At 37.4% G+C, this 12,686-nt stretch overlaps 1 protein-coding gene across 12 annotated transcripts in view; it reads left to right on the top strand.

Moving 5' to 3' along the window:
- The window catches only part of ATP8A1 (ATPase phospholipid transporting 8A1), a 248,733-nt gene that overhangs the window by 134,763 nt on the left and 101,284 nt on the right, over nucleotides 1–12,686 (top strand). For all 12 annotated transcript variants that reach the window (NM_001400027.1, NM_001400026.1, XM_047449508.1 and 9 more), the window contains one exon: nucleotides 44–183. In NM_001400027.1, coding sequence (NP_001386956.1) covers nucleotides 44–183 — 140 coding nt within the window. The remainder of the gene's footprint in view (nucleotides 1–43; nucleotides 184–12,686) is intronic.

Genomic DNA, 12,686 nt, shown 5'->3' with positions numbered 1-12,686 from the left:
AAAATCTTTGGTGTGTTGGGGTGATGTATGCTATCTTTTTCAGGGTTAAGAACTTTATGTTTTGCTGTGGCTGAGATTTCAGAGAGCGACTTTCAGGAGTGGCGAGCAGTCTATCAGCGAGCATCTACATCTGTGCAGAACAGGCTACTCAAACTCGAAGAGAGTTATGAGTTGATTGAAAAGGTACGTGGATGATTCTGTTGATCATACAGAGGGTTTGGTTTCCAGATAGTTTTGATCTTTATTCAAGGAACCAATGGAATAAAAATCAAAATATCTTGACATACCATTCACTATTGAATACCCTCTCATCATCTAAGCATTAACAAGTATTAATATGCATTAAAATATTGCTGAGAAGCCTTTGGGGTTAGACATTACTTTGTATAGATCTTCACTCTTTTCACAATTTTGGATCAAGGTTTGGCCAGTCTGGCAATCTCCTTGCCAATGTATTTCAGTTTCTGGATCTCTGAGGATATGGAACATGCCCCTACACACACGCACACATTACATACATGACATGTGTGCTTTGAGTTAATAACTATAATATGCAATGCAATATAAAATAGTACTGTAATCACACAGCTTGCATAGCTGATAATATATATGAGAGTAATCCAGTGCTTACACTTGTCCAGTCATTGTGACAAACATATACCTGTATTATTTCTGTCGCAGCTGTAAATGTTCTCATTTTACAGATAAAGAAACCATTGTGACAAACATATACCTGTATTATTTCTGTCACAGCTGTAAATGTCCTCATTTTACAGATAAAGAAACCAAGGCTATTAAGCCAGAAAGTGATGGATACATTATGATCGATGCTGTATAAATAGCAAGAATCTTGCTTCCTTAATTAAGAAAACATTTTTGTGTAGCTCTTGCCGTGTGCCAGGTGCTGTTCATAGCACTTTCATCTATTAATCTAGTCCTCACAACATCCCTTTGAGGTGCTAATTATTCCTGTCTTATAGATGAAGAATCCAAGGTAACAGAGAGGGTAAGTAATTTGGCTGAGAGTACACAGCTTCTAATAGGGGGAGCCAGAATCCTCACTCTTCCTCCAGTATTCATGCTCTAAATCATTCAAGTGACTTCATTCTAACCTCTAGCTTGCCATTAGATAACTCTTCAATAGCACTCATGTTTGTATTGCATAGAATCAAACTAGCCTGTCCGCTGCGGTTTACTTGATCTTTTCTCCAGGTAAGTAAAGGCTGATACTTTGTTCTTCTTTCCTCTCTATCGAACTGTGTACTTCGTCGTGCCTCTGTCTTGAAAGGTGGCTGGTGCCACCAGTACCTCCCTGGACTATTTCCCCCCTCTGCTCCTCACGTCCCCTCCCTTTATGTAATGTGGGGATGCCATGTTCTAGCTGCAGATGGTTTTCTTTATTGCACAAGGTTACCATATGCAACTCGAGATATTGGTGTCCTGTCTCCTCAACAGATTATCACTTTTTATGGAAGGTGATTGTTTCTCATATAGCCTTTGTATTTTGTAAGGGGAAGATACCTAAATATAAATATAAGCTCACATATATCATACCTGTATATATAGAGATAGATATGTAGATATATCTAGATATCTCCTCCTTATATTTGAACTTTTTATTCTGCTTACTTATGAAAAGACATGGGATAGCATGTATGGTGTCTTCCAGCATGATACTCCCACCCTAAATGTTATAGGTATACACACACCAGGAGACTTGTTATCAGTTGACTTATTTCAATGTCTCTCTTGCCTATCTTCCCCACTTCTTCCCTCCCCACTCCCTCCACCTTCTCGCTCTCCATTTCCTAACATATTTATATATGATTATGTCTTTGGGGCATTTATGTAGTAAAATAAAATAATCTGAGGCCATAATCACAATCTCTTTTAATCTGCCCAACTAAAGTCACATATCTTAAAGCATTAGTGCTATTGATTTTTAATCTTTGCTTCTGTTACTCTTTTAAGAATTAAAAAAAAAAAATCCAGTTTGGAAATGATGTTTTTCCTGTCTCTGAATATAAGGCAGCCTTGCCTTGCCTTATAATCCTCATGAGACAGAATTAATATGTAATGTCAGAATAAAAAAATCTATTTGAAAATGGATTCTAAACATATTAAATTGTTTCCACTTGAAGTACAACTTCAGTTCTAGAGTAGAATGTTTAATGTACCTAATATCCTTACTCTCTGGATGCCCTAGAGTTTTTTATAGATTAGATTTTCTAGGTTTAACAGTTTTGTTTCTTGTTCTTTTAATAACTGATTAAAAGCCTTGCAACCTCCAGCTTTTAACTGAACTAGATGTTCAACGTTTTCCCAGCAGATGGCGATCATGAGCTACATTAAAATTTAAGTTGACTGAGGCACTCCATTAAAAGTGGGGAGAGTGTGTGTATACACATATACACATGCATCTATATATGTGTCTATATGCATCCATGTAAACTACATATAGTTTACAGATGACAGAAACCTCCCTTATGACTGTTTTTTACCTAAAATAAATGAAAACGGGAATTTATAACTAATTTGTCTTCACTTCATAGTAAGCCATGCTCTCTGTTGTTGAAAATCTAAGATCCGGAAAGATTAAGAGATTGGGTCATTTACTCAGCCAGCCTGCTCCAAATGAAGACTGATTCTGTGTCCATCTCTACTCCTGAAACTGGAGCTTCATTTGGTGATCTATTTAAATAACTTTCATCAAGCAGTTCATGTTTACATGCTCATGCACAAGCAAATGAGACTGTGGCCCTCTGGGTACCACGGTCTGAGCAAATTCCCTAAATGAAGAAATCTTAAGGAACCCAAAAAGGTGGCCCACAAATTTGACCTGAAGGAAGCTTTTGGAGAGGTGGTAATTTTTGAAATGGGCCTCCAAGGATTATTTTACCAGTTGGAGGAGAGCAGACATCATTGTAGGGAAAAAGAATAGACAAAATAGAACAGATGTGATGGCTCACACCTGTAATCCCAGTATTTTGGGAGACCAAGGTGGGAGGATCATTGAGCCCAGGAGTTTGAGACCAGCCTGGGGGAACATAGGGGGAGACTCCATCTCTGTAAATAATTTTTAAAAATTAGCTGGATGTGGTAGCATGCACCTGTGGTCCCAGCTACTCAGGAGGCCTAAGGCAGGGAGAATTGCCTGAGCCCAGGAGACTGAGGCTGCTGTGAGCTGTGAAAGTACCACTGCACTCCAGCCTGGGTGACAGAGTGAGACCCTGTCTCAAGGTAAAAATAAATAAATATATAAATAACACAGGGATCTTTGTGACCAAGCTGTTTTTCTGAAGTGTTTCCATTAACTGTGATCATAGGAGGACTGTAGGATTTTTAATATAGAGAGCCAGGGTTATATCACTTCTTTCTTGATCTCAGATTCTATTCTTTGTTAAAATCAGCTGGGATTAGGGTTCAGAAGTTGTGATTTACTGCCATTAAAACCACTCTAGTGAGGCAAGTTTCAGCGTGTCAGACCACAGATTCTTCCAGAATGTTACCCTGGCTTTAAATTGAGCAAATACAGTCCTAGGGTTCATCCATTGTCTTCTTCCTTACCTGCTTTAACTGAGACATGCTGTTTATGCAATCTATTTTTTATGTGATTGGAATCTATTTTTACGTAGACCATAATATTGGACTTAGCATGTCATTATTGGACTTAGCATGTCAGACAGTGAATCTTTAAACTGTGAGGGTCGTTTTCACATCTTTTATTTTTTAAGAACAGAATTTTCCAAGCAAACATTGCCTGAATCATAATATATATAATTGACGAAAGCAGGACTGCTTTGGCTGGAGTAAGAGTAGAGAGGAGATCCAAACTGGCTTTCCCCTCAGCCTCCACCTTGCCCTCGTGGGTGCTCCAGGCAGGGCTTGTTGTGACTCTGAGGATCCACTAAGCACAGTTTGAAAACCATGTATTACATTTGTATGTGGACTTTTAGAAAACAAATTCCTCAAAAGATCAGTACATCATTGTGCCCGTATGCAAGATGTTTCTGAACATATTTGAATTGATATGTCATTGCCACATTAATGGTAGTATTATATTCACAACATTCAAAATGTAAAAGATTTGTAAAGTTTTTCCTAAAATAATAATTTAGTACAAAATAAGAGGAAATGTTATAATAGGATTAAGGTTATACTTTTAAATGCTGCTCTCTGCCTCTTGTTCCTCCAATGTTTGTTCAAACTGGTAATTCAGTTTTTAAAACTAAGTTGAATCCTTATTCCTTTGGGTAGTGTAACTCCTAGCATAAGCTGAAAAAAATATCCAAATAGACCAAAAATATACAACAAGGCATTTATCCTTTGGTTGTGATGCTTAGTTACTCAGGTATGTTACTACCCAGCACACTGAGCACTAGAATGTGCTGCCTTCACTCTTGGGGAACACTATGGGAAGGAGGATATGGAAAGTGAAAAAGCCCACCGGCTATTGTTATCCCTATTGACAGTCATCTCGAGATGAGAGGATTTAGGACTTTTAAATCTATCTATAAAATATAATTATCAGCTCTGTTCCAAAACTGTACTGTTTGAGCTCCAATACTTGCATTCATATGGTAAGCTTTTCAGGACATTTCTAAAAATTTTAACACTGAGAGTTGTTTCACGAATCAGTTGCCGACACATCTATTTTGTTTATTTTTTCTTTTGCTGTTACTAAATAAATCAAGAGGTGACATTGATTAGTAGGAAGGCCTAACTTGTTCAGGAATAAGAAAGCTCACATGGTTAGAATGCAGATGGGATTATCATATGGGATATTTCAGTTGTCTTGACTCACTTTGCGAAGAATTGCAGGTTCACATTGGGCATTGTGGACAGTAACACCTCTTAGTCTCTTTTTGTCACCACTTGAGAGAATTTACAGTGGTCTCATTCTTTAGACAACAAACTTGACCTGTTTTATCTCACCCTCGTTCTTTTGAAAGGTAGTCAACATATTAGGACTCATAATTTTAGATTGGGAAACCACTTATAGTGTCAGCCTATATTTTTTAAATCAGAATTTGTTTTTTTTTTTTTTTTTTGAGACGGAGTCTCACTCTGTTGCCAGGCTAAAGTGCAGTGTCGGCTCAGTGCAACCTCCGCCTCCTGGGTTCAAGCGATTCTCCTCCCTCAGCCTCCTGAATAGCTGGGACTACAGGCGCCCGCCACCACACCCAGCCAAATTTTTGTATTTTTAGTAGAGACGGGGTTTCACCATGTTGGCCAGGATGGTCTCGATCTCCTGACCTCGTGATCCACCCCCCCTTGGCCTCCCAAAGTGCTGGGATTACAGGCCTGAGCCACCGTGCCTGGCCTAAATCAGGTTTTTAAATTAAAATTTTGTATTTCCTCAAGAAGAATTGTAAATAACAGAATAATTATGAAGTTCCTTGTTTCATTGGCAGGGGTTTCTCTGAAATTTCTCACCTTTGATCTGTCACTTTAATATATCAGGAGCCAGGGTGATATCACTTCTTTTTGGTCTGAGCTTCTATTCTTTGTTAAAATTTGTTTACTTTTATTCTAACTTATTTCTAAGACACATAAATTATGTTTTGTCTCATATTCATACTATGCTACTAGATTCCTTTGAAAATTAATAGTATAGAAGTCTCTGGTCTTTCTTCCTTATTTTATAATTAAACCATTGTTTGAAATATGAAGGCGTGCCTTCGTGGAATACATAATTTTTTGAAAATGTTTAATATTTATTTGCTTCAATAGAAAAATACAATTATGTCTTTAGTACTGCATAGATTACCTACTAATAATTTCTGTGTTTCTGAAAGTAAATCATTTATCTTGAGAATTACAGAAAACAGCGTAAGCTATAATACCTGCCTAGATTCATCACTGATTAAAGCAGTATTTCCCTGGTGATAAGATTTTTATTTTTCTCTTATTATGATGCGTGGATTGGGAAACTTTTTTTTTTAATGGAAACTTATCCAATGCTTTTATCTGTTCAAGTTTTTCTAAAATAGGTTATGGGTTAGAGGATCATTTCTGAGCTTAAGAGTAAACTCAGAACACTGTAACTCTGCTGTCAAGCCTTTTTTGATCAGATAGCAATGTTGTGTTTTATGTGCATTTTGTAGTTTGTGATTGATGTATGTCATCCACTAGATTGAAGTTTCACGAAAGCAGGGACTGTGTTTATCATATTTATCACTGTGTCTCCAGCGCTTGACTGACTAGCCTATGTTAACCACTCAATAAATATTTGATGAATAAATGAATTATTCATTTAAATAATTAATTCAGAAGTTGGAGCTTAATAAGTACTTGCTTAATGAAAGCCTGCCCCCTATTAACAAATCTAGTTCATGCTTTCCATGCATTGAAGGCACTGGTATCAAATGTGCTATCACTAAGGATTAATTTAGGGGTATGTTAGAAAAGAAGCCAATAATTTTACAGAAGGCATTCTTTAGAAGTTTAGATTCGTTCATTTATAAAACCTGTCTTCAAAGTTACTTGATATATAAATGTGAGAAAATCATGGGTTGGAAAGATTCAGCAACAAATATCTGAGCACCGCTGCGTGGCAGGTTCTGTTCTAGGCTCTAGGGCTCAGCAGGGAGAGGATAGAAGAATTTCTGCCTTTTGTTTCAGTGGTGGGAGATAGGTAGTGAACTTGTAAACTAAAACAATGTCATTCCAGAGAGGCTTTAGTGCCCTGGGCACTGAGATAAGGCACTAAGATAGGACAGTGAGGTAGTGATCCTTTTTTACATTATTTCCTTTACCCCTCCCCAAAACGTGGTTGACATTTGGGGGATGGTTAAAGAGTCCCTTGATGTGGCGTAATATAGATCAACCATTACACTCAGTGTGACTAAACAACAATTTAGTGCCCTTTGCAACATATGGCAACAAATGGTTTAGAGGATTCCTAGAGAAATATAAAACTTAATGGAAAACAGGACTTTTCTTGAGCATTCATGACTGCCAAGTTCACAGTAACTTCTGTATTAGAATGGAATGCTTCTTCAGATAAAACTACCACATCTATTCTTAGTAGCTGCACATATCACTTTCATTTGTGCTAAAAATGAAATGAAAATTTACATGATGTATGGGTGATTTCGTGGTTTAAAATTCCAGTAGTTTCCTGTTCTATTTGCTTAAGAACATTTATAGTTAGCTCATTTAATTAGACCTGCCACTTTCTGAGCATTTACTAAGCTCCGCAATTTTCACTCTTTACCCTGATTATTTAGTTGGAGGGCCTCTAAAGTGAGACACAACGTGATCCATTGGGGTAAGCAAGAAAATATTAGAACTTCTATTTGTTTTATTTCATCTTTTTTAGTTTTTGCATTTTATAATGTGAATAATTTATTAATTTTAACAATGTTTTACAAAAATATAACTGTGTCATAAGTACGTATTCAACATTTTTTCCTAGTATACTCAAAAATGTTTGTGAGATAACTGGTGTAATTTCATCTGCAGAACATCCTTATTAAATCTACGTTATTAGGTTTATCTTGCTGTTGTGAAAGTTGATTCTTAGGTAAGTTAAGTTACTTGCTCAGGGACCCATATCCAGTGGTTGGCAGAGCAGGGATGCAAATCCCTGTTCTGTCTTAATTCCAGATCCCATGCTAATAATCTGTAAGTTACGTTGCCAACTTGCTTTTGAAGAAAGCAAGAATGTGTATAAAATATTGGAGACTTGAAAAATAAAATGAAATCAATTGTGCAGTTGCATAATCACTAGATCACTCAGGGTGAGAAGTGGGGCTCATCAGCCTGTTTGAGACTCAGCTACTTAGTGAGGCAGCCTCTATGTACTCTATGTACTGTATTCCATTTTCCTTGAAAACAAGATGGAAATATGTTTTTCATGATTTTCCCTCAACTGGCCGTTAGAATCTTCTTATTTAAAGTACTTAAGATTTCCTTAGATCTCTAATCACATGCTCCTCCTTTCTGGTAGGATAGGTTCCTTCTTATGAATGCTTCGTGGTAGATTTTCCACCCTGGGTATTGCTGTCTTCTCACTCAGATAAGATGGATGCGTTGTTTTTGCAAGCTACACCCAATCACCTCTCACATCCTGATTCCTTTCAGCTGGGTGTGTGAATTCTGGCCTTATAACTAAGCCCTTGGCTTTGTGAGTTCAAATGTGATTTCTATGGTTTGAAAAGCACCAAGTTAAAATCTATTTCTTGGCCTTAGAAAAATTAACCAGTTGAATGATTTCTCCAGAAGTAGGCAAATGAGCCATTCCAATGGTTTAAGGACTTAATGCTCTTAGTCTTAGTACTGTAGGCCAGAATAAAGGGAAAGGAAAGAAGGTGTTAGGTCTCTTTAAAACAAGGATGATACCCAGTGGAATGCAGAACACAGAGGAGCCCAGCAACCTCTGAGAACCAGTGTTGTAGAATGCCTCTGAGAATCCCACAGCACATCCCAATTCCAGAGTTAACGTATTTTAAACCTCAAGAGAATGGTGACTGCAGTAGCCTCTTAATTTGTCATGCAGGCTTCTTTTGTCCTAATCCAGCCCCATACAGCTACTAGTGACCTTTCTGAAATGTAAATCTGATCCTGTCTCTCCTCTTCTAAAATTCGCCAGGTGTCCCTTGCCTTTGGGATTGTCAGCATAACACACAGACCTTTCCATTTCCATTCCCTGCTGGCTTTTCCAGCCTCATCTTCCTCACTGCCACACGTCACTTCATCTATCATTTCCATACTGACTGAATGGCAGCTTCTCAAACATTATGTGTCTTTTCACACATCTGTCTTTGTACATGTAATTTCTTCTCATTTGGAATCACCTCCCTTATCCTTCCCCACCTCTCCCCATTTCTTGGCTAAACCTTAATTCATTGTTTAGTATTTAAAGTCAAGTGTCAGCTCATGTTGGATAGATTTTCTTTGAGCCATCGAGACTAAGATGATACCTCATTCCTGTGTTTATCCTTTGTACTCACATAAGAGTACATGTATAGCATGTAACATACAATGTGTATAACATTTTTTAAGATAGGGTATAACATATAACGTGATTCTTCCAGGGGAGCACTGTTTCTCTAATAATGATAATCCTGTATTACAGTTTAAAGGCTTTGTAGTTTGAAACTGCAAGGAAAAGAAAGAGAATTGGTACCTGAGGGTCTAAGGCCAGGCTAAGGGAGAATGGTAGGAGTTGGACATGGGGATGTCTACGGTGATCAGACAAGATGGAGCCAGGTGCAAAGATGGGATGCTCACAAGCATTCTACATCAGGAGTTGCAAACTCCAGTTCAAGGGCTAAATCCACCCACTGCCTATTTGTAAATAAAGCTTTACTGGAACACAGCTACATCCATTTGTTTACATGTTGTCTGTAACTGTTTTCATGCTACCACAGCATAATTAAGTTGTTGCAACAGAGAATATATGGCCCTCAAACTTTACAGTATTCACCATCTGTCCTTTTACAGAGAAAGCTAGTCAGCCCTGCTCTAGATCAGCAGTTCTCATAGTTACGTTCTCAGACCAGCAGCTTTGCAACCACTGCACATTTCCAGGCTTCACCGTAGACCTATTCAATGAGGAATTCTGGGTGTAGGGCCCAGCATTCTGTGTTAATAAGCTCCTCGGGTGATTCTGAAAATTAAAGTTTGAAAAGCACCATCTAGATTTCTGGCCTGGTGGCTAATTAATTACTTGGGACTTGATGACAACCAGGCAGTCAGGGTTTAGGAGAAACACCAGTAAGGCAAGGAGGTACAGTTAGAAAACGAGGCAGCCAGGAATCCAAGGAGAGTTTCTAATGAAGCTTTCTGAAATATAAATTTCATGCAGGAAGGAACTCACTATTGTATCCCCGGCACAAGTACCTGCCCAGAAGCACCTGCTTGGAGTATATTTGTGAATGAATGCAGGCATGCATGTGTGCTTGTAAAGGAGCTAATCCTGAAATGTGACCCTGAGGCCTGCAGGTAGGAATAGGGAAATAGGTACACCTGACGGGTGACTCAGGCCTGAGGCTGAAACCCTCTCATAGAAATGAAGTATTATTGAAGACCAAGAACAGACACAAAAGTTTAAAAACCTGATGATTTGAACAAAATTCTAATTTTCATCTAATCTCAGTTTTACATCCCATTTGCTTCCTTGGGTATGTATTAGTTCTTGGTGTTTTGTCCTTACGGTCATAGCTTAGCTGCACCTCTAGTTGACCTTAGACAATTTACTCAACCTCCCCAAAGCTATTAACTGAATTACTAAATGTAAAGCACTTAGCAGTGCCTGGTACAATTTTTCTATCCGTGAAATGCTGGTTTCCTCTTCAACATCTTCCTAGTCATAATCTTATTTCATATGGAAATAAATCCTACTAGTATTTATCCACATTTACTCCAGTGGTACAATTTGGTTTAATAATATTACTTTGTCTTTAAGGAAATTTCTGCCAAATAGCCCATGTTGTAATCTGAAGCCTAGGTTGATACGAGTTTGATTATTATATCTTTCTCATTTAGAAGCATATCACAAACTTTAAAAAAAAATGACATCATCTAAGCACTGACATAATGTTTGCTAATATGGAAATAGGTCACTTTGAGGTTCCATTATTTAGCAAAATATACATGTATTGGGGAAAAATCATAATTTCTAAAGCTATCATAATACATTTTACCAAACTACATGAAGCTTTCTGTCCTCACTTACAGTAGAAATGTTACATTTATGTGCCTTTTTAAAAATTCTGCATACATTAGGAACATCTGAAAGAGAAAACATTACTGGAGGCTTTACTAGGTGAATAAACATTATTTTATGATTTTTTCAGTGATAACTAAATCTATATTATGTCAAAGAGTCATCAACCTCAAGCCTTTATAACATTTAGCTTGGTGACATTTAGAAAGTAAAATTAGTGTTTGGAGTTTTTTTTTGAATTCCATAAATGCCATGGGAATTTTATCGCATTTCAACACTTGCTGAATATGTAATTCCCCTAGTGCCCATTAGTGGCCATCTGTGTAAGGTAATACATATTTGGGATGAAATTGATTATAGCCTAAACACTCTTGTGTTATGATCAGGAAAAGCACGCAAAGTTCAAATCTTTTTTTCTAGTGATCATTATATAGCTAACAATATTAATTTCCAAAAGCAGAACAGCCCATCACTCAAGATTCTGATCTCACCATAAATGATACCAGGGCAAAAGGAAAGGAGTCTGCAGAACCTTCTGCTAAAATTAACCAGTGCTGTTCTCAAGGAGCTCCTGGGATAAAGGGAAAATTAACACGCTTATGGAGTACAGTGTTTCCTTCATAGGCATCAAAGTAGACCCATTACAATTTTGCTGAATATTCCGAAATGTTTTATTATTCTTCTTAAGGATTTGTGTTAAAGCCACCACAACACTCCATGTTAACCTACTTGTGTGACTTTTCTCAGCATACCTTGCTGGCCCTACATCTTTGATCCTTTATGTTATTTGTGCCTGCTTTGAAAATGTTTCTCTTTTACCTGTGCAAAACTAGATGCTTTCCTTCTTTCAAATATGATTTCAATGTGATCTCTCCAGTGAAGTCATTTTATTTTTATAGGTATGTGAGTGGTAATGTATTTTATATTGGTGGACTTTCTGAGCTCATTTTTCCCCTTAGAGTAGAGACAGAAAATATACAAAATATTTGTTTATATGTTTCTAATGAATGTGTTCGTATCTTGGCTCCCACATTATCTAGTTACCCCAGTGTTTTGGGAAACATATTGCAAAAAAATATTTTTGCAGGAAATTTTGAGGGCTTGTATTAATAAGCTGTCCCCATGATCACTAAAAAAAAAAACCTTATGCCTTGGGTAAAATGCTTAAAATTTGAACACAGCTATATCCTGATCTTCACTGGGATGTGAGCCAGAATGATTTAACTGCAAATGCCCTAAAAGTAGCTGAAGATTTGGAAGAATCATTGTGTAAACATTTAAATTCAACAGTTGTGGTGCTGGCATCACTGATGCTGAATTGTTCTTCCTTTCCTTGCTTGAACTTCTTGATGATAATTGTTCATCAGGTTATGGTAGATTTCAAATCTGCTTCCCATTAAAGGAAATAAAATAATGCTATCTTCTTGAAAGAAATTTACCTTCCTGTATTATATATTATACACTAAGAAGTCATGCATCAAGTGTGTCTAATAACCATCCATATTATTTGGAATATATTGAAAAGAAAATGGTCTAGATTGCAGCAGTATTTTTGTAATTTCTGGATTTTGGTCTTGTCATTAGCTCACTTAGCAAACATACTAAATGCTGACATTCAATGCTGTGGAGTCATTAAGATGAGCAAGACGTGGTCCCTAATTTTGAGCAAACCTACCATACTCATGCATTTACACTTCTCTTAATGTACATGAAGATGAGCAAAATTCTGTAGGAGAACAGCAGAGGGGAAATTTTATTTTAAGAAATAAAGGAAAGCTTAAAAGAAACAATAACTTTTTTTTTTTTTTTTTTTTTTTTGAGACTGTCTCGCTCTGTTGCCCAGGCTGGAGTGCAGTGGCTTGATCTCGGCTTACCGCAAGCTCCGCTTCCTGGGTTCATGCCATTCTCCTGCCTCAGCCTCCCGAGTAGCTGGGACTACAGGTGCCTGCCACCATGCCCGGCTAATTTTTTGTATTTTTAGTAGAGACGAGGTTTCACCGTGTTAGCCAGG

The sequence above is a fragment of the Homo sapiens genome, chromosome 4 (assembly GCF_000001405.40).
Source record: "Homo sapiens chromosome 4, GRCh38.p14 Primary Assembly".
Classification (NCBI taxonomy): domain Eukaryota; kingdom Metazoa; phylum Chordata; class Mammalia; order Primates; family Hominidae; genus Homo; species Homo sapiens.
Note: the sequence above shows the minus strand (reverse complement) of the source record. Positions and strands in the feature narration are given on the sequence as shown.